The sequence below is a fragment of the Homo sapiens genome, chromosome 6 (assembly GCF_000001405.40).
Source record: "Homo sapiens chromosome 6, GRCh38.p14 Primary Assembly".
NCBI classification, from domain to species: domain Eukaryota; kingdom Metazoa; phylum Chordata; class Mammalia; order Primates; family Hominidae; genus Homo; species Homo sapiens.
In genome coordinates this window covers 146,172,872-146,196,513 of record NC_000006.12, presented here as the reverse complement: position 1 = coordinate 146,196,513, position 23,642 = coordinate 146,172,872, and the positions used below count along the sequence as shown (strand labels likewise).

The 23,642-nt window shown below is 36.4% G+C and overlaps 1 protein-coding gene across 7 annotated transcripts in view; it reads right to left on the bottom strand.

Moving 5' to 3' along the window:
• Nucleotides 1-23,642, bottom strand: part of GRM1 (glutamate metabotropic receptor 1) — a 409,895-nt gene that overhangs the window by 241,088 nt on the left and 145,165 nt on the right. The gene's annotated exons all lie outside the window — the stretch shown is intronic.

The window sequence follows — 23,642 nt, the reverse complement described above, 5'->3', positions numbered from 1 at the left end:
CTAACATGGTGAAACCCCGTCTCTACTAAAAAAAAAAAAAAAAAAAAAAATACAAAAAATTAGCCGGGCATGGTGGCGGGTGCCTGTAGTCCCAGCTACTTGGGAGGCTGAGGCAGGAAAATGATGTGAACCTGGGAGGTGGGGCTTGCAGTGAGCCGAGATAGTGCCACTGCAGTCCAGCCTGGGCGACAGAGAGCGACTCCGTCAAAAAAAAAAAAAAAATCCACTGCACTAGATAAATGGAAATAGTCTCTTTGACTATCTTTGTGTTAATGACAACATTTCCTCAAAGAAGGGTTATGACATCCAATTTTCAGATGGCATTTAAAACTAAAGGCATATAATTACCCATCACTTAAAAATCACGTTCCTCATGAAACTGCTCATCTATGGTTTTCTCCATTATCATGCACCAACAACAGCCTTGTTCTTTCCACCACACCTGTGGTGACTATATAATTAATTATCCAAACTGGGATACCTTTGTTCAGGAAAATACTAAACTGAACAAAATGCTAAGACTGTAGACATACACCTGGACTGTCCCAGCCAAATTAGGACTTGTGGTCCCTTTTCATAGCTATCTCTCTCTCAGTACCTCCTGCTGTTGAATCTATTCTTCATCAGTCACCAGCACTGCAATTCTATGAGTGTTCCTACTGTATGAAACAAATGAAGATGTCTCCATCCTTTCATTTACCACTATCCAGCTCCTTTCTATTTGTCTCTCCATGTTTATTCCCTCTCTATCGCCTTTCTTTATCTTGCTGTGCATCTTCCCTTTTACTGGGACTTCTCAAGGGGTAAACTAAGTGATAAAACACAGAAGTCAGAAAAGAATCAAAACATCAGCCTCACTGCTAGTAAATTTGTATTAGAGAATTTAGTTTGCATCTGGGGCAAACATAGGCTTTCCTACTTCCCCTGGTATGGGTATCTCCCCACACAGGGTCAAGTCCTGCCCCTGTGCACTTACTGTTGGAGGAGAAGAGAAGAGGCTTTGCCTGCAGGAAGGCTGGGTGAAAAGAAAGAGCAAAAACAGGGCTCAAGCAGTCATACTTAGTAATCCTCTCAATCTCACCCATCAGTAGAGCCTTCCTCCTGAACGGCGGGTCTGAGGAGGTGAAGAGATAGGTGAAAAGTTTTCTCCTATTATCTGTGAAGTTCTCATTTTTATGGGCCAAGGCTAAAATAGAAAATGAATAATAGAAGATGGTTGCAATTACGTCTTCGTGCTTTTTTTCTTGGGCCTTCAAATCAATAATTTAAAATTAAATTACCACTTTAATCTTATATTTCTTAAGCTTTCTTAGCTTCCTGTTCCTGTTTTTACTTCTAGTTATCATTTCACCTACTATCTGTAATATATTGCTTTCATATTCAAATCATTTTAAAAACATGTACTATTAATATGTACAACATGTCACTGGAATGGAAATAGAGTGGATATCAACATTTAGAGTAATGGGTAACATTTATGGAGTGATTACAATCTTCTGGACATTCTTTTAAGTGTTTTACATGTAGTAACTCATTTAATTCTTTACAACAATGATGTAATAAACCAAGTCACAGAGAGGTTAGGTAACATCTCGAAACTAAGTTGTTAAGTGGCAGAGTCAGAATTTGAACCAAGACTACCAGGCCTAAGATCCGAGTTCTTTACACCCATGTTATATTGGTTTATGCTAACATGCCCACCCTCCAACAATTGATAACCTTATAGGACAGTTGAACCGAAGCAAAGAGTGACCTGTGGGACAATATCTACTTAGTGCCATGTGAGTTCAGTGTAGGTATGTGCGGCTTCTTGGAGAGGAAAACATTTGGCTTGGTTCCTTACATTCTTTCTGGAAAGAATTGTGTCTGCAACTGGGTGTCAAATGGGGATTAAGGAATGTTAGTGCATGTGTTGGGAAGCTCAGCAGGGAGTCAAATAGTGGGAGTGCTGCTTCCAGACATTACTGCAAAATGTTTGTTGTAAAAAAAGAAACTCTTATTTTGAAAGATTAAAAATGGAACGTTGCAAAAGTTGCCCCTGATGTTGGCTCATTTAGAGACTTGGCCAATGAAGTCGAGAAAGTTAAGGAAATATAACATTACAGTGTTAGCTGGATATTAAGTCATTGATTTGAAGGCTTAAGGTAACTGAAGAGAACTGTAACACAGACTCTGGAATCATAAAGAGAGGTAGCTTGTGTCATGGGAACTGGCAAAAAAACAACAAAGAAGATGTCATTAGTGGATAATGAAGACTCTAAAAAGGAGAAAGCTGGTTCAATGGAGATAGCAGGAAACTGGACAAAGAAGATATGAGTAGGCAAGTGCATAAAAGAAGAAGCCCAAATTGCCAATATCAATATGAAAATGTTGTTAAACTATTAGTAATGAGAGATATGCAAATTAAAACATTGAGAAGCCACAGAATTCCCATTAGAATAACAAAAATATCAAGAAAAAGGGGTTAGATCCAAGTGTAAAAAAAAGTTATGAAGATATTGAACTTCCATATGCTGTTGAAGAGAAGGTAAACAAGTTCAGCTACTAATACTAAAAAAAAAAATCTGGCAGTATTTCATAAAAATGAAGAATGTCCATGTCCTAAGACCTAGTAGTTACATTCCTAGGTATGTACCCCAGAGAAATACTAGCACAAGACTAAAAGGGGACAGGAAAGTTCACTAGGGCAGTGACTTAGAAACTACATAGGTCTCCATCATCAGAGAAATGGAGTTAAAAATACAGTAGAATGCGCAAGTAAAAAGCAACAACCTAGACGTATGACCTAGAATGCATTTTAAAAACATGATGTTAAAAAAAAAGGTAAGAACAAAAAATGTATTGCATTATAACAATTACATGTTGTAAAACCTGAGACACACAAAATATGTATCTCACACTTTTGCTTCCACCCTACCAAAATGGTGCTTGTGTGCATCATCAATAAGCATCAGTGGCTAAATACATCATCTCCACCTTGTGATCCACTGACAGCCCTTGACACAGGTGACCACTCACTCCAGTTGTACTTTTTTTCACTCGGCTTTAGGACACCACACTCTCCTAGGTGTTAATCTCCCTCTCATTGGCTGCAGTGTCTCAGTCTCTTTACTTGCTTGTAGTTATTTTCTCATGGTCTAGATGTCACAGTACCCCAGGGTTCAGTCCTTGGACAACATCCCTTCTCTAAATTCCACTCACAACCTTGATGATCTCATCCAGACACATGATTTCAAATAGTATATATATCCTAATGACTCCCAAATGTGCATCTTCAGCCCAGAGCTCACCTTTGAATTTAGACTTGTATATCTAACTGTCTATTTAACATCTTCACATCCATAATAATAGGCATCTTAAATTTAATATACTCAAAATTTATCTTTCTCTGTTCTAGTCCACAAACCTACCCCACTTAGGGGCATCCTCATCTCAGAAAATGGCAAATCCATTTTTCCAGTCGCTTGGTACAACAAAAAATTTTTACCTTACATCCAGTAGTTAACAAAACCTGTTGCCTCTACCATGAACTCTATCCTTAATCTGGCCACTTTTCACCCACAACTATTTCTTCTATGCCGGTCATCTTCCTCACAATCACTCACTTGGATGATAGTAAAAGCTCCTTCTTCCAGCTGTGCCCACCTAGAGCCCACAGTCCATATAGCAGGCAGAAAAGCCTGTTTAAAATGTCAGTCAGACCATATGTATAACTAAAAAGTTTCACAAAAATACTTTTTGCTAGTACATACAATTCACTCTAATATTTTCTATTGTATTACATTTAAAAATAAAGATCAGTAAATTGACTTCATAACCCACTAATTGGTCACAACACAGTTTAAATGTGCTGGTTACTGGTTTAGAAAGAGTAAGAATAGTGAGAATTTTGAAAGTAGGCATTTAAGTTGGATGGCAATAATGAAGGGAACAGGAGGATGAGAGAGATAAGCTAACGACAATCATTATTTTAATTTCATACTTACATATATCGGGTATTTTATATGCCAGGAATTCATGCTAAATAATACATTGTTCCTTTTAATCCTTAGCCTAATTGACATATGAGGAACCTGAGGTTTTGTATAAGGCCAAGTGCCTAATAAATTATAGAACCAGAATTCTGACCCAGCTGTGTAGATTTTAGTGCCCAGCTTCTTTAACCAGGGTAACATTTTCCTCCATGTATGTCCCATTATTATTCTACAGTTTGGTTATGCTAATTGTAAACCCAGATAATAATCCCATTTATCCTATTTCAACATACTGTCATATAGTTGTTATGACATATTTATTTCAAAATGTTACCATAACCATTCTCATTAAAAGGAGGATGGCAGAACATTATTATTCCACAGACTTTCCCCTTTTCAATAAGTGAACGCTAGCATTTGGAAATTGTCTTAGACCACAATAAAATTTGTTTACACTGAAAGTTAAGCAATCTTAAATTGTGAGGAGGTTAGTAAGTAGTCTGAATAATTACTTACTTGGTCTTAGCACAAACAAAAGATTGCAATAGATCAATATGTTTATCCCAATTTTTCCAACTACTTATGTGATAAATAGTCCTTTCCCCAGCTTGTTTGTGTGCTGTGTGTTCCCTTTTAAACACAGAGAGAAACCATTTATATTCAGCACAAAAACTTGTCAAAGTTAATCTGTCACGGACCAGAGATTGACTGACAGGAAAGAACAAAAGGTGATAGATTGCTTTTAGTGTCAGCATGAAAGAAAGGAAACAGAAAAGATCCAACCAAAGATGGATACGGGAATGAAGAAAATATCTGAAAAAAAGAAGAGAAATTGGGAAAAGCAAAAGAGATCACACAAAACAAAAAGATTAATTAAAGAAACAAGATAGAAAACAGAAAGGATTCAATATTTTCTCCCTTTATGTAATTATTTAGGTAAAACTGTCAAGTGTGACCCCTTGTAGATGATCATAAAGGGACAGTGATGTGACCCTGAAACTAGGGATGGAGGATTCTTAGAAGCAAATCAAATCCACTTTTAATACTTAAGAAAGATAGCTGAGAAAGGCTTCAGCTTAAGTTGGAAATCAAATCAGTAAGAGGGTTAAACAGAGAGGAATCACCGAAGAGGAAACCATCCAGTAAACCACCTCACTCACTAATAGCACAGGCTTCATCACCTGTGCCAGACACTATGCCAAATGTGCAGGAAGCAAATACAAGCAAGACCTGGTCCTTGCCCTCAAGGAACCCACAATCCAGTAGGGATCACCCCGGTCCACAGACCATCAAGACACCCATGGTAATGCCATGACAGAGAAGACACTGAAAGGAATGGGGGCACGATGGCAAGAAGCCTAATCCAGACTAAGGAAGAGGCTGTGGAGAAGATGAATCAATGAAGCTTCCTGAAAGGGGAACTGACCTAGGCAAAGGAGACTTGGAGACCTTTCCAAACAGCAGAGATAGAGCATGCAGAGGCACAGAGGTGAGAGAGAGAGAATGGCAAGTGCATGGAGGATGAGGCAGCTGTGTGATGATATTGAAGAGGTGGTCTAGGGTCCAATCTTAAGGAGCTATGAATACAATTCCAAGGAGCTTGAACTACATCCCAAAGACTAAAATCAGCCTATAATACGTAAATCAGAGGGGTGATGTGTTTTGATATAGCAATGTGAAGAACAAGTGGGAATACAAACAAGATTGGGGAGAGAGAAAATTGCAATGCTCAGCCAAGAAAGTCAATTAGGAGGTTGTGGCAGTAATCCAAATGAGAAATGATGAAGGCCTGAACTGAAGTAGTGGCAATACGGATGGAGATGAGGAGACAGAGCCAAAAAACCATTGAAGAGGTAAAAACAACAAAACATGGTGACCAAAAATTGTCTTTTCTTATTATTTGTGATTCTATTCCTCTTTTTACTTTTTAAGTTACTTCAACTGTGCAGTAAATATTACCCAGCCTCTTTGTGGCTGTTCCGTAATCTCGTTTTGAGAGAGCTGCTCCTCCTGAATTCGTGTTGGCCAACTCCCTCAAGGTGTGATATCGCCTCGTGTACTTTCTACTTTTTCTCATGAGCTCATTTTTAGTGAAACTTTTTTCCCTTAAGAATCTCATGGACCCCAGTTTGGTTATTACATAATTGTTTCATCTTTGCTTTCTTAACACTCCCAGGATGTTTACTAGTTCAAAATGTTTTAAAATTAGTAGCTTGGCTTGAGGAGTCTAACAAAACATTTATAAACTAACTTCAGACTCCATGCTTATTTGTGGCTCTGGCCTAGGATTTCAGCTTTTCACTGGAAAATTTTATTTCCCACCTAGGATTTTGGTAGAGTCAAGTTCTTTGGTGCTTCTCAGGCAGATGTGAAAATTTTCCCCACTTCCTCTCTTACTCCATTTCTTGTAAAGGTCCAGCTTTAGCATGGTTATTCATTCCCATTTCTTCAATTGAATCCAAGGTCACAGATTCTGTTCCCCAGTGGATACTGAACTCCACTCAACAACTCCAAGGCCCTATACCCGAACTTAATCTAACATTCCTGCCCTCCCATCTTTGAGTTGCCAAAGCAAAACACTGTAACATAGAATTCTGGTTTTAAATTTCCCTTTGACTTTGGCACCATGGGATTTCCCTTCCTTTATTTAACAGTGAAGATTTTGATTAGTTAAAATATATCCATGAATTATATGTGTTATTAGCAGAAGAAAGATTTATGCTACCTCGGTGGAAGGTCAATGTCTAGAGAAGGTTTTCACAGCAGATAGAATCGTAGTGGAGAGAGCCATGACGCTGCTTCTGCAGAGAATGTGGTAGATTCATGGAGCTTAAAATCAGAACACCTGGATTTAAATCCTAACTCTCCTACTAATTACAACACTGCAATCAAGTGCCTATCTTCACTTGTACTGAAGGTTTTTATTAATGAGGAGAATGTAAATGACTTTGGGATATATAAAGACCTCTAACATGTGAAGCATAATGATAATGATATGAAAGTGGGAGTGTCAATATTTCAGGTCGACAGACCAGAATGCTTATAGAAAGCATTACATGAAAAAAGAGTTCAGAGGCAAGAGAGTCGAAGAAGTCAACTCACTCATTGCATTAGGCTCATATTTAGAATCAGAATAGGAATTGCTACAGAATTTATAGACAGATGGAAAAAGCAGCAGGATGTCATAGTGGCTTAACCCAGAGTTGAGCGAGGCTCAAAAAGCTGGTGGGAATGCCACAGAAAGCAAAAAGCAGGCCAGGTCACTGAGGAAAACAGGAAAAATAGTCCATTGCATAGGAACCAGATCAAGGATCTTAAGGCTTAAGAGGAATGAAAAAGTTTCTTTAATGATGTGAAACAACAAGAAAATGATACTTAGGGAAAAAATCAACAATTAAGAAGTAGGAGCTTTGGAATTCTTTTGCTTTCAAATGTTTCCCATTATACTCAACTGTATTTTAGTCTAAACACTCATAACATTATTGTGCATATTGGTTTAGCTTCTCTCTCTCAACCACGTTATGGACTCTTTAAGGAGGAGATAGTTTCTCCATTCCCAGCTTTTAGCACAGTAGCTTAGCATAGACTATGTTTTCAACAATTGGATTGTGAATCAACAAATAAGAAAACTGATAAAAAACGTGAGGGCAGAAAGCCAGGGAAAAGAGAAATGTGTAACTACTACTGTTGTTTGGAAGTGAGGCAGCAAGTTCTAGATTTAAAAGAGTTTCTGGTTCTAGAGAATGAGGAACTAAAATGGGTAGTCTAATTTTGTGGCTAATTTATGAATTTGCTGGGAGATGGAAAATAAGCCAATGCTACATGGTCAAAAAACTAGCAAACGTTTCGTCAGCATTCACTGTAAGCTTGGTCCTGTGAAGAAATTTAAAAATGTATTCTTTGGCTTATGAAATCATCTCATTACTTAATAATTGGGCATGTTTAAGTTATTGGGGTATGGGGAGAATTAAACATTCTGACATTAACATTTAAAAGTAGGATAATATTCATGGGAGTCTTCTTGGATTTTAAGTTTTAGTACAAATTGCAAGGGAAGGTACAATATTTCAGTCCAGAAATGGGGATGCCTGTGGCAACTGAGGTAGCAATAGAGAATTGCCATTCTCTTGGAAGAGAAAAGCAATGATTGTAACATCTGTGAAGGATCCTGAGTGCTACTACAAGAGGTCTAGACTGTATGCTACAAAAAATAGGGCATTAAAATTGTTTTTGTCTTGAACTCATATTAACAAAAAAGGATTTTTAGAAAAAAAGATGTGTAGACAGAATGATTTAACGGTAGGATAAAGGATGGATTTGAAAGAAAAGATGCCTGGAAGAAAGAAAATCAGAGAAAAGGCTATTTCAGACATCTCAGTGGTACAGTGACCACAGGGGTTTTTGAGATTCCCATTAATTCTATAATGTATGGTAGCTGTAAGAGAAAAATTAATCCTTTTTTGAAACACTTTAAATGACTGTGATAATTATGTGCAGAGATAAACATAATGAACCTTAGTTTTAAAAAGAAAGTGCTCTCTGCACAGGACAAAGGCTTGCTATTTTACCAACTGGATATTCAGTTTTTAACAGTAAATAGAACATAAATAATAATAAATAAACAACTATTCTACTAGACCTCATGAGATGCTGCATTTGCCTGGTTGTTCTTACCGATTATAGAAAATTATTTCCAAAACCTCATCTATTCATTTGGCATCTTTTGTATCGTTTTACTCTTTTGTTTTTTGTGTTGTTTTATAAAAAAGCAAAATAGCTAATTTTATATATATATATATATGTTTTGTGCCTAGTTGTTGTAGATATTTTTCTTCTTGTTTGTTAGCAAATATAAATTATATTTCAATTAAATTAACCCAGTAATAAGAGAACATCCATTTTTGTTGTTGTCCGTGAAATATGTCTTTGCCTCCCCTCTACTTGGTGCATTGATGGGTACCATAGATCATTCAAAAGAATATGATCTTTTGCCATGGACAAATTCTAAAAGTTCTAAGACACTTAAATGACATCTTTATAAATGTGCCTTAATGCATACCTCTCATACAAGTAAGGGGATTAGCAGAAAATGAGAAGCAAATTCTAGTTGATCAAAAACTTCGTGATATGGTATGAGTTATAAATGTCCTCATTTGGAAAACAAAACACCTTCTGTCTGTATTAGCAAGTAAATATTCTTGATGCAGTCTTCATTTATTTTATAATGGATTCATCTTTTCTTCTGAAATTTAGCAGATATTATATGGTTATATAAATATTTTATAATAGTTGATTAATATATTCTAGCCCTACAGACATTTGAATAATGAAATCACATTTGGTTGTTACCTGTGCAAACACTAGCATTTCAGAGCTTTAGACCTTCTAGACTTTAAACACAATCAACCAATCTTTTATCAAAATTAAAAGAAGCAGGGTAGTCTTTAATGCTGATAACCGATATTTCTAGGTCTCCTTCTTTTAAATACATAGTAATATTGCATTTCTTCTTCCCTTTAAATCACATGTGGCCATGTGACTTTCTTTGACCAATAAAAGGTAAATATAACTGACATTTGTTATTTCTAGGTAGAGACCTTTAAAGTTCCCTTCCATCTGCCATAATTCCCAGTTGCACTCCAAATAGGAAAACTCCCTTCTTAGACAGTTGAGTTAGGACAATGTACAATATAACCCCTATAGCCCAATGGACACATAGTGCGAACAGCAAATAAACCTTTGTGGGTTTAAATCACTAAAATGTTGTGGGTGTTTGTTACCAGAAACTAATTTAGTACATTTTGATTGATGTAGACATTTGTACAAGAAAAGGAGACAGCTGTAGCAACAACAAAAAAAACTATGATCTGTGGCTTTGCAATTAAGCAGTACGTAGGGAAGAAACTGTTATCAGTTAAGCAGTAGGAAAACATCTAGTAAAACTGTTAACCTTTAGTAAGTTGGTAAACAGATCATGTACCCAGTAAACTCAGGACTCTTAGAAAAGAGGCTAAGAAACAGTATCTGTGTTGTGTAGGTAGCTATTGGCTGCATTTGGCAAGGGATTATAAGAAATTTGGTCAGAAAACAAAATGGTTTGGAATCAAGAATGAAAAAGAAATCTGTGTCCTTGAATTCAGGAATACAGAGACAACTGATTTCCAGCCCAAACAGCAAAAATGTAAAATTCATAGTCTTTGAACAACAAAGGCAAAGTAAAATCAGTCTTAGAGGCAATTGTCATATTAAGAGTATATCTATAGGCCAGGTGTGGTGGCTCACGCCTGGTATCCCAACACTTTGGGAGGCCAAGGTGGGTGAATCACTTGAGGTCAGGAGTTCGAGACCAGCTTGGCCAACATGGTGAAACCCCGTCACTACTAAAAAACATAATAATAATAATAAATAAATAAAAATGAAAATAAATACAAAAAAAAAAAAAAACCAGCTGTAATTCCAGCTACTCGGGAGGCTGATGCAGCAGAATCACTTGAACCTAGGAAGTGTAGGTTGTAGTGAGCCAGGATCACACCACTGCACTTCAGCCTGGGTGACAGGGCAAGACTCTGTCTCAAAATTTAAAAAAAAAGAAAAAAAAGTATGTCTATAGCACTAAGTGGATAAGGTATCTCATCGTGAGATCTAACTAAAGGTATGTGTCCCAGAAAATGAGCTTAATGGTATTACTCTCTCTAAGCCTAAGTGGCTCAAAGTATCTGCAATGGACAATAGTTAGAGATATGTGGATAAGAAAATTACAGAATATAGCTGTCCTAAGAAATGTATTTTAAGAACTGTGGGTGGGATTGCTAGCATCAAACGCTGATTGGAATCAAATAGGTAGGACACCCACAAAGTTTTCAGAGAATTTTACTCCCAAATCACCACAAATCACCAATCTGGACTGAAAGAGAATGTCACTAATCTGGGTTTAAATTAATCCTTAAGCTGTCAGTCATCTGTAAGCAGAAAGTGGATGTGGAAAGCTGCCCAGGCCTGAAAGAAGGCATATTTTCCAATACCAGTTTTTCAGAGATGCCTACAAAGGGTAACAGAAAGGAAGGAATCTTTCAGAGGGTCACAGAGAGCAGAGGACAAGGGAGCTACTCCCAGGTAGCCAAATCAGGGTCTGTGCAAGGAATATTTCTCAACCTCAAGGTAGGCAGCTTTCACAGTCTTGGCTGTATGGCACAGCACAATTGCTCTAGGCCAGACTAGCCCCATGTTCTTTTATTATTCTTTTTCCAAAGTGGAATGTTTATTCAAATTATCCTATTCTACTTTGGTCAGCGTATATTGGACTGTGAGAGGAAGTTAATGTACATTTTTAATTCATATGTGTTCAGATCAAAAAGGGTTATATTCAGACCTGGTATTAAGGCTACTGCATATCATCCAGATGTCATGATTTAGAAGATTTGTGCTGTCACTCAGTGGTACTTTTGGGTTACCTCCTTTTTAAAGAGGTTAATGTATTGTGCGCATGGAAATAAAAATAAGCTGACCTTTTGTTGACCAGATATTACATGTTTGTTACTAACATTTTACTGGAGAATGAATATTTCTGGTTCTCCACCTTTCAGCACACATGGTACTATTTCATTTCCTTTCCATAAAATAAAGTTTATCCAGGGAAATGTGAGTGGAAACTATGTAGTCTTTTCAAGGTAAACATTTTTAAGGGAAATACTCTGACACATTCCTTTCCTGTCTCTATGTTAAAGAGCAATCTTGTTGATCATGAAGGCTTCATCAGGCTACATCCCTGCATGAGGATGAGATGAAGCAGAGCCCCACACACCTGAGATGATATATAACATGAAAAATAAATAAATGTTTATCGATTTAAGTTTCTAGAATGTTAAGATTGTTTTTTATTGCAGCATAGCATAGCCTATCAGACTAATACAAGATAGAGAGGTATAGGAAATCTGTGCTTTGCTTACCACAGGACTCAATAAAAATTTAGTTAATGGTACTGAATTCATGCCGGCATTTTAGTGTTAAGTAACGAAACTCTGATTCAAGGAGAATAAAATTTAGTATATTATCACAGCAGTCCATGAGGCCCATTCAGATAATCCACAGATAGTTAATTAAAAAAAAACAGAAAAAACTTATCAGCCACAATTAGAGAATTTATCAGTATTGTAAACAATAGAACAATGGATTGTCTCAGAAGGCAGTGAGTTTCCAATCAAGCAAAAATAGAATAAACATGTTTGGGAAGTTGGAGAGAGAGTGCTTCTTCTGGAGGGAAATTAAGTGAAATGACCTTTATATTTTCTTCTGATTCAAAGATTCTGTGATCATAATTATCTCCCCCTCTGTCTTTTTCAAACTGATTTAAAACAAGTTAGGGAAAAACCAAGTGCCCAGGCTGGACCCAAGATTTATGATCATACTGTTAAACCTTTTTTTATCATCTGGCAAGTGCTATTATATGTCCGAGGTGACCCATTTAAATATTGAATTCCTGGCTAAATCCAGCAGTGTTCCAGGTCCTACATTTTACAATGCTTCAGGGTTCTCAGTGGGGAGGAGACCTAGTTAATTGCCCACTCCAAGTGTGATTTACAGACTAAGTGGCCTGATTATTGCTGTAGTTCCTGAGATACATCTTCCTGTTTTCAGCTGTGTTCCTATCTTTACAGAAACTGCACAAAGAACTTAGAAAAATATGAGGATTTATGCCATATGCAAGAGATAGAAGTCAGGGTAGATATTGGAACCACCAACATTAGGAGTCAGACTAAGGAGCAGAAACTGATGAAGGAGAGAAATGTACCTGAATTAGACAACATAAAACCAAGCAATCAGCCTATACACGAAGGTTCTAGAGGAGAATCGCACAGTTACTTAAGAAAGACACAAAGAACTTTAAGATCATAATACAAGGCATGGAAAAGGAACATAGAGATCATCTATTCTGGCCGTCTTTTTATAGATAGAAACTAAAATTCAGAGCTGTGTTCCCACCCAGGTCCTAGTAGCTGATTTCAGGACTAGTAACTACCATTTTTACTTTACTGTGTTATCAGTTAATATATCTCCTCTACCTCCGTCACTTTATTTGACCCTCACCACAATCCTAAGAGCTGGGAAGTGGAACAGAAAATGACAGTTGTCTCCCAAAATTTATTCTCCTATTGTTAAATAATAGGAGAATTATTTAACATATAAGAGTTCCTAGTTGGGCACATGGACAACCAAAAGAAAGAATAAACTCTTCAATCTCTCATGGAGCTAAATGTGGCATGTTATAACAAAGTTCTTGTCAACAGGATGTGAAGAGAAGTGATGAATATGTAGAACTTTCATGTCCTTCTTTTAAAGGAAGGAGGTCTCCACTTGTCTCCTTTTCTCTTTCCAGTGACTAGACGATAGATGATATGGTAAGCCATCTTGAACCCTGCAGATGAGAACAACTCCAGAGAGGATGATGGAATGACAAATGTGAAGGAGCCTGAATCTTAGAAGACCTCATGAGGTAGAGCTGTCCTACCAGCCCTTAACTGCCTGCCTCCAGATTGTTACTTTAGTTTCATTTCTACTGTAGTAACTAAATTCATACCCTAATTCTATGAATTAAGAACAAATTCATAGAATACCTGACAAATTGAACAAATTCAACAAATACCTGACAAAGCAGGTATTTCTGTTACTAATTTTATGAGAAAATATTAATACTCAGTTTATCTAGGATATTTGATCTTTGGCTAGTGTCTCTATTCAAAGAAAACATGAGTGGAATGTTTTATTGACTTAACCCCAGTATGTATGTCTTGTTTCATGTTGTAAATTACTGCATCTCATTCCACTCCAGAAAAAAAATACAACAATAACTTGTATTCAAATCTGCAGTGATGGAGGTAGCACTCCATTTATCCAACCTAAGAAGTCTTTGTGAGAATGTACTATGTATGGGTAATATAACATTTTAAGGCAAATTTATGTACAGTTTGCAAAGTACTTTATTTAAAGAGCATCAGGAAAGGGCAAGTAATTGTTGTCATTAGAATTTTGCCTGTTCTCCTAATAGACATGCAAATGAATGAGTTTTGAAGTATATTTCCAATTCAGATAGCACTGCATGTACAGCTGTAACTGACTTGGGGGGAACTGAGGGATGAAATTAGATAATTTCTTGCAATCAAGACAAATTCAAAAAAGAAAAAGTTTCATCCACCTGTCGTTTAGAATTCTACTAAAAATAACTCTAGACAATGTATTTCAAAGAGAAACAATTTGCTAGAGGAAAAAACAATCTACTAATCAAGCTTCTTGTCTTTCCTTCTTATTAATGAAATAAATCTGTTTGCAGACCCTGTGTTGTAAAAGCTTACAGTGCACCACAAAATAATTTTTAAGCTATATTCTGTGTACATGAGATGTGGATGAAAAGGTTAACAAAATAGGCCAATAATTTTCATGTTATGTCCAATCCATTTCCTTTACTTTCAGTAAAACAAGAACTTCTTAGGTAAGCTGTGGAAATGTTTGACATAACCTTTCACAACTTTTTTATTAATAAAATAACTACCCTTTCTCAATTGCTTTTCCTTTTTAATGATCTCTTATTTTACATCCCTAAAATTCCACTGCTGTGTGTTCCAAGAATAATCTTTTGTATGCTCTTATTAACTATATTGCTTTCATCCTGCTTATAATTAATAAATCTTATTGAAAAATGATTACTAATTGATTTTCATTGTTAATCATTCTGATCCCATATTTATTCACCTCTCTTTCTTACCTAGTAATAGACTCAGGCACTTAGTCCTTAGTACATTGACAAACGACAAGGAGACAAAAGTACCCTACTTGCTAGTTATTCGAAAGAAAGGAGAAATTGACAGCTTGAGCTATAATAATATTTTGGATCAACCTATGAATTTCTAACATTATGCCATAATTCAGTTCTCTATCAATATTTTCCTTCTGAAGTCATTCAACAAAATATATTAAGTGACAATTATAGATCAAGTGCTGTAGGTATATTCAAAATACAACAGTAATCATGGCAGAGTGAACTTATATTCAATACAATAAGGAGTTAAGGACCTTGATCTTCTTTTTGAAATGTTCTTTTCTCACTTGAAGATTGAAAGTTATTTTGAGTTTTCTTCCTAATCTTGAATATGTTCATATCCTAGGATGGTGGCATAGGACATATTTTATTTAGTGAACTGAAGTTATCACAAAGACTTCCTTATTCAGTGCCTCAGACATTTCATTTCTCACCATTACTCTTTGGAGAATTTGTGGATTTTTGTTGTGGTTTTTTTTGTTTTTTTTTTAAAGGTGGCAAGTTATGTGTGAACATTTCAAGTTTCCTAGCCTCTTTCCAAGTTCATTTCGTATTCACAGCAGTCTCTTGCTGAAATGCATGTTATCCATGGGCACTGCAAATCTATTTATGTACCTGAGGTGTGTTATTGCCAATTATCCTCAGTTGATGGGCAGTGAAAATAGTGTCATCTCTTCTTTGGCACAAATTCTCCTCAGCAGAATTTCTCTTATAATTATACGTTTCATAATCCTATGGGTTTTAAGTGTGTTATCACATTGAGGTTATTTCTAGTTATACTAAGATTATATCTCCTGCCATTATACCTAGAGCTAACCAGAAAGGTCCGCTTTTAAAAATATTTGCTGTAAGTGAGTTCTTATTCAAGAGTCGACTTTGCTTAAAGTCACATATTAGAGAAGCACTATTTTATTAGAACATTTTAAACCTAAAGTGCAGTGTGTTAAAAGTAAAACCAGGCTGTGGGTTGGAAAGAGTAAACCATGAGAAGCTAATGAAAGTCCTATGAAGAAAACCAATTTTAGTAAAGTTTAAGTTCGTGACATTTGGTTGTTACAATCCCTTTGGATTTAGAAAAAAAAAGAAAAAAGAAAAATGATCAAGGTTGCAAAACCTATATGACAAAGAGAAGAAAAGGTTTAGTTCTTTCTTAAATAGAATAATCAGGAAGGAATTTCATCAACGATCACTCCACACAATATATATTTCACATTTATTCCTCCAAGAGCTCTAACTTGTAAAGATGAAAAAAAAAGTTCCTCTGCTTTTAAAAGAGATAATCATCTAAGTATAACCTCATTATGTAAAAATCAGTTAAGATAACTTTTCCTCTTGCATAAACAATAGAAATAAACCAAATCTTAGTTTTACTTCATATTGTCAGTGAAAATAAACTATCTTTAATTGGAAAATATGGTACCTAACACTAGCAGCAACAAAATCTAGCAAATCTCTTATATGGTTTGGTCTATAATATTAAAAGAAGTTAATATCTGCATAAAATAAACTTAAAGTTAAGAAATGATAGAAAAATACAGATAATCTTTTAAGAAGAGTTTTTTGTTTGTTGGTTGGTTGGTTTTTTTGGTTTGTTTTTTGGTGAGTTGGGATTTTGCTCTGTCACCTAGGTGATCATGGCTCACTTCAGTCTTGACCTCCCAGGTTCAAGCAAATCTCCTCAGCTTCCCTAGTAGCTGGGGCCACAGGTGCACACCACCATACTCCAGTTAATTTTTTTCTTACATTTTTTTGTGGAGACAAAGTATCCCTGTGTTGCCCAGGCTGGTCTTGAACTCCTGGACTCAAGCAATCCTCCTGCCTCGGCCTCCCAAAGTGCTGGGAAAAGAAGAGTTTTTCAAACTCTTAAAAGATGAAGGAATAAAGAACAAAAAAAAATTAAAGGTTCTGAGTTCTGGGCTGGGCAGGGTGGCTCACGCCTGTAATCCCAGCACTTTGGGAGGCCGAGGTGGGCGGATCACAAGGTCAGGAGATCGAGACTATCCTGGCTAACACAGTGAAACCCCGTCTACTAAAAATACAAAAAATAAATTAGCTGGGCATGGTGGCCGGCACCTGTAGTCCCAGCTTCTTGGGAGGCTGAGGCAGGAGAATGGCGTGAACCCGGGAGACGGAGCTTGCAGTGAGCCAAGATCGCACCACTGCACTCCCGCCTGGGCGACAAAGCGAAACTCCGTCTCAGAACAAAACAAAACAAAAAAAGTTCTGAGTTCTAATTCTGGGCATGCTACTTACTGACTCTACAATCTAAACAACAGGCACACTGTCCTTTAATTTTCTCTCATATAAATGAATGAGCAGAAAGTTCAATCAATTGACCCTACACTGATACCCACCCATTCCTTCTCCAAAGGCTTAGCTGGCTGGGGTCATAAGGTCATCTCTCTGCAAGCTCAAAATCAAGATAAAGTCAAGATGAAGTAAAACTTTATCTTTTCCAGCGGGGGCATGGCATTTTAGGTAGTGGGATCTGAAAGGAATCTTGCTGTTTAGGTCTGGATTGCACTAGTCAGTGTTAGTCCTGAGAACACATGTGCACGTGAGAGTGTTGATTTATTTTCTTCAATATACCCTTTTCTCCCAATTTGTATATTTGAGATTCGCCAGTGGTTTATAGTCTGGTACTCTGTATTTCCTATCTGAAAATGGATTACTTCCAGGACAAAAAGTCCATATGTCTGGGTTCTGACCACTGTCTATTTCTCACAGGACTCTCTTCCAAGGCATTAAAATCGATTCCCATTCTTATACCACCAGCCCAGATTAGAGGCCTTGTTGTGGGTAGATTAACATCTTTGAATTAAATCACAGGGATGTTCCTAACCCAGCTTCACCTTAGCAGTGCCAGCCAGTGGGTGATGTACATAATGAACAGTACACAAGTTGGTCTAGGGCAGATAGTCCCAAACATGAATATACAAGCATAGACATTTGGTATCCAAATAAGAATGGCTACTAAATGAGAAATTTTAAAAAATACATAAAAATTAGATGCTCAACATCAATATCAGCAGGGATAAGTCATGTTGATAGAAGCTGAGCATTCCTAATCCAAAATCCAAAATGTCCCAAAACCTAAAACTTATTGAGCGCAGAAGACATGAGATAGTGACACCTTTGCTTTCTGATAGTTCAATGTACACAAACTTTGTTTCATGCACAAAATTATTAAAAATATTGTATGAAATTACCTTCATGCTATGTGTATAAGTTGTATATGAAACATAAATTAATTTCCATGTTTAGACTTGGGTCCCATCCCCAAGATATTTCATTGTGTTTAGAAAAAATATTCCCAAATCAAAAAGACATTCAAAATCCCAAAGCATTTCAGCTAAGGGATACTCAACCTATATAATATGATGAAAATGGCACTTTACCTCTGTGGTCTTAATCCCCCAAATCCATAACACCAGTCTACTAATGAGAAAAAACATTAGACAAGTGCTAGATGAGAGACATTCTACAAACTACCAGACCAGTACTCCTCAAAACTATTGAGGTCATCAAAGCAAGGAAAGTCTGAGAAACTGTCATACCCAAAAGGAGTCTAAGGAGACATGACAACTAAAGAGAATGTGGTATTCTGAAACAGAAAATGGACAGTAAGTAAAAACTATGATCTGCGGAAAACATAGACTTTTGTTATAATGCAGTATCAATATTGATTCATTAATTGTAACAAATGTACTCTACTAATAAAATATGTTAATAAAGCTTACTAAGGGAAATTGAGTGCTGAGTATAGGGGAACTTTCTTGACCTATCTTAGCAGTTTTTCTGTAAATCCAAGAATAGTAAAATTCATCTAAAAAGTAAAATTTATCAAATTAATACACAGAATAAAGAGTTCTGTAGGCCTGTTATAAAAATAATCTCTGCAGACCTATGATGAGCAAGTGCTTATATGACTATGAGATTGTGATCTTTCACAGGCATTTTTCTTGTCTACAATTTTAAAATGCATTTTTCAAGGCAGAGACAAGAAATGGTCAAACTCAAATTGCAAAAATGCATTTAATGAGAGCAACAGCAAAAGAAAAAAAATTCAGTGAAGGCAGAGATGCCATTTAAATAATGATAACTGAGAAAGGAATGCAATTCATTTTTTTCCAAAACAGTACTCATAAGTTATCCAGCTTCAAAAAGTTGCAAACGTGAATATCAGATTTTAGTGTGATTAAAAGCTCTGAAACTGAATGCCAGGAATTTAAGAACATTGAGTATAAAAAATACATATATTAAGCTATATAAAAAATCAAAGAGAGCCAAATTAAAAGAAAGACACCTTTAATAATATCCTAGAGGAAAGAAGTGAAACTTAACTTGTACAAACTATTTTCAGAACACATCTAGCAGAAAGAGAATGAAGATAATCTAAAATTTTTAACTCAGCCTATTCTATTCTATTCTAGCCTGCTGTGAGTTGTCAGAGGAAGTCACTCTGGGAATACATGTCAGTTCTAGTTATTCCCCTGGGTTGAGATTAGGAAATCATATATTGAAACAATGGACTAAAGGTCAGACATAAAGGACTCACTTACTTTACTTTGCTGCTTTCTTTCCTGGTCCTCTGTTAGGAAAATGAGATACAAACTTGAAGCCAAATACTTAAGGCTTAAAGAAGAAAAGAAAGCTCAGGCTGAGTCCATTTAGTAATACAAGGCTAAAATGTGTAGCTAATATATATTGGTCTAATGGCATGCAGGGGAATTCTGTTAAACAGTTAAATTCCATTTTCTTCATAAAGGTCGCAATAGCCCTAATATGAGAGATGTTAATATTGGTATCACTTTAGAGAAAGGTTAAGTAACTTACTCAAGTTCTCTTAGTAATGAATGGGGAATCTGGAGTTAGAATGCAGGTATTTCTATTATGGATGCTAGTTAAAAATTATTCTATGAGTAATTATCTGATGTAATTTATTGCTTATTTAGAGAAGTAACCTCGTTAAAAGATTTAATCCTCTTCTAAGAACTTATTGAATCAACTAATTATTTTGGTATAGAATAGTACAACTTCATTGTTGCTTAGAAAATATACAATATTTAATATATCTTGAAGGAAAACTTACAGACTTCTTTTTTCCTTTCAAATATTTTGAGCTGTTGATTCTACAGGAGACAGAGCCAAGTGAACTCTTGAACATACTAAACTCTTGAACAAGTGAACTCTTGAACAAGTCAACACACTAAAACCAAAATTTTAGTATGTTAAGATCTCTGAGTCTTTATTACTGATTTCCTTACCTCAATTGACCAGAGAAGCTCATGGGGAGATATTCAAATTACAGCTATTCACTGTAATCCTCAAAAACAGGTAAGATATTAACCCAACAATTCTGAAACAGCAATTATAACACATCATGACTTAAAGTCAAGTACATCAATAAATTTCCTAATTTATTAATCCCTTCCAGTTCCTAATAGGTGTTTCAAAACCTCTGCTTGACTATTGCCAGTTAAAGGATCCTTGCTGACACCTAGAGAAATCTATTTTATTGTTGAATAATCACAATTGTCAACATTTACTGAGAATTCATTGTGTATCAGGTACTGAACTGGACACATTATTTGATATTAAGAATTAACTGAATACCTATGAAGCCTAAAGCACTGTTGAAAGGGCGCTAGGGTTTCAAAAGCTAGCTAAACAAAACTGTGCCCTTATCATGATTATATTTTATTATTTAATCTTCAGAATAACTTAGGAGATAGTTACTATAGTTAGTGAATTTTTGTCTCTCTTTTAAAGTGAGGAAAGAGGGTTAGAGGTTTCCCCAAAACCACAATGGCCTATTATAACATACAGGTTTAGACAACCCGAGTATTATTGTAAGCTCTGTGAAATACAACCTATATATTTTTATAACCTAATGTAACCCATACCCTATCAACTATAGGGAAGATGGTGGGCCTTTCTCATCTGGCTAGTAAGGTATAGCATATACATCTTTTTTTTTTCCTTACCATATGAATTGTGCATGAAGACCTGAAAACTCCAGTTTGTGACTTTAAAAAGAAAAACTTCCAATGACCCAGAGGAGGATATTTTGGATTTATGAGATGGATCCTGCATTTGTATTTATGTGTATTGTATTATTCTTACTATTTACAATTTTGAAGGAAAAACTAACTTCTGTAGAGCAAAATACTCCTGTTTTTCATAGACTGCTCCTCAAAGTCACATGGAAAACACAATAAACCCAGCAAAGAAACACCATCTATATAGACATGTCCAGACAACTTGTGAGAGGCTTTACCTGAAGCTTTTAAAATAGATGACATTTAAGGAAAGTAGAGGTTGTAACAAGAATCTATTATAAGTCTCGAAAACTCAAGTGATAACACTAGCACAGGGACGTATGTCCTCCAATGGTGTCATTGAAAAATTTTCATTCTGATTTCTGCTTTAACCTCATTAGAATAATAGCTTTAAAAGCAAGACTATAAAATGACTAACAGCCAAGCATATTTAATCAGAAAAAGTGATTTCCAAATGCAAATACTATGGGTCTGTTTCTACCACCATAATAGGCAGCCTCTAAGATGATCCTGCCTCCTTGTGTTCATTCCCTTGTGCATTCCCCTCCCCTTGAATTGCTGGACCTAGTGACTTACTTCTAATGAATAGAATATGGCAAAAGTAACAGGATATCACTTCCACAATTAGTTACCAAAGACTGTGATGTTCTCCCCTCTCTCTCTCGATCTCTCTCTCTCTATCCGCCCCCCACCTCAGGGAAGCCAGATCTCACCTGGGCTGGCCCCACACAGAGGTCCACATGGCAAGAAACTGTTAGCTCCAACAAATAGCCAGCAAGAATCTGAGCCATGGCAATGGCAAAGTGAATGAGTTTGGAAGCAAGTTTTTCCCAAATTGAGCCTTGAGATAATGAGATTTTGGATGGATGAAAACCATTTGCATTTCACAAGTCTTTCTCCACAGAAAGTCAGCCTCAGCCAAGACTTTCCTCTCTTTAAAGAAAATTCAAGGCACAAAGCCCTGGGGATACAAGTGTAAACATTCCTAATCTAATAACCCAAAACATAGTTAATGAGCTCTTGTTTATCTTTCGGAAATTATAAGCTTAATTAAGTGATTGTATAACAATATAAAATTTTCCAATAGTATGTAGTGACCAAACTCAGTACATAGATATAATAATTTTCAATATTCTACTTTGGCAAAACATACCAGCAAACTACACACAGTATACCTCTTTACTGACACAATTTTTGCAATTCCAGCTCCTTTGCACTTATCTAGGTTTGAAATCCCCACAGGCATGGACTAGAGTAAAATTTAAGAACTATATAATGTGCTATATTTGATGAGCAAGGAGAAAAAATAATATTCATATTTCTCTATTAGAAAGGAATGCTAAATCCAGAAGCCCATAAAGTCATATCCAGTAGTTATTGTGTAGTGTTTCCACACATCCCTGAAGCTGTGTCTACCTTTTGGAAAAAAAAATGCCTATAGCAATTTCCAGGGAATATACCTGTGTAGGGAAAATTTAACACTAGGAAAAAAGAGTAAAAATTTCTCAAACTGAATTTTCAGGACATGATTTTTTTCAACTTTCAATGTTGTCTTAAAAATGTATAGAAATTTTTATCTCTTAGAGATAAAATTTATCTCTTAGAGATAAGATGTCAGATATCAAGTAAGGATTCATATTCTTCCAAATATGTGAGCACACCTGACATAAACATAACTGAAACTACAACTCTGAGTAAGAACCTCAAGGAAGAGCCAGGTGCGGTGGCTCACACCTGTAATCCTAGCACTTTGGGAAGCGAAGGCGGGCGGATCACAAGGTCAGGAGTTTGAGACCAGTTTGGCCAACCCCATCTCTACTAAAGATACAAAAAATTAGCCAGGCGTGGTGGCGGGTGCCTGTAATCCCAGCTACTTGGGAGGCTGAGGCAGGAGAATCACTTCAACCCAGGAGGTGGAGATTGCAGTCAGCCAAGATCATGCCATTGCACTCCAGCCTGGGCAACAGGGCGAGACTCTGTCTCGAAAAAAAAAAAAAAAGAACCTCAGGAAAAAAATTATTCTGCAATTTTCAACCATTCCACAGAATTTAGATAAAACTCTGGAATCATCCATCAGTGAGAGAAGTTATTTATTTTTACTGTCTAGAATGATTAAGGCAGTGGCTCTTAATTATTTTACTATTCATCAAAATCAGTTTATTCACAAAAAGAGATGGGATATGATAGGATTGGAAGAATCAAGAGTTTCTTTTTTTCTTTTCTTTCTTTCTTTCTTTTTCTTTTTCTTTTTTTTTTTCTTTTCTTTTCTTTTTTTTTTGAGACAGAGTTTCACTCTTGTTGCCCAGGCTGAGTGGAATGGTGCAGTCTCGGCTCACTGCAACCTCTGCCTTCCGGGTTCAAGTGATTCTCCTGCCTCAGCCTCCTGAGTAGCTGGGATTACAGGCAGGCGCCACCATGCCCAGCTATTTTTTTTTATTTTTAGTAGAGACGGGGTTTCTCCATGTTGGTCTGGCTGGTCCTGAACTCCTGACCTCAGGTGATCCACCCACTTGGGCTCCCAGAGTGCTGGAATTACAGGCGTGAGTTGCTGCATCAGGCCAAAATCAAGAGTTTTCCAGTCAAAGAACTTGCATACTGCAGCACACCTGCTTCTGAATCCGTTTATTACCAAAGTCCATCCAGACTTTTACCCAGCCAGTCATTCGCTCACTCTCCTGGGTCAGAGGAAGAAATGTCGCCTCTCTTTTCAAAATCCAGCCTTACGTATTTATTTCTGATCCTATCTCCCTGATCAACTTATCAGTTAGTATTTCTCTACTCTTCCAAAACCTATCT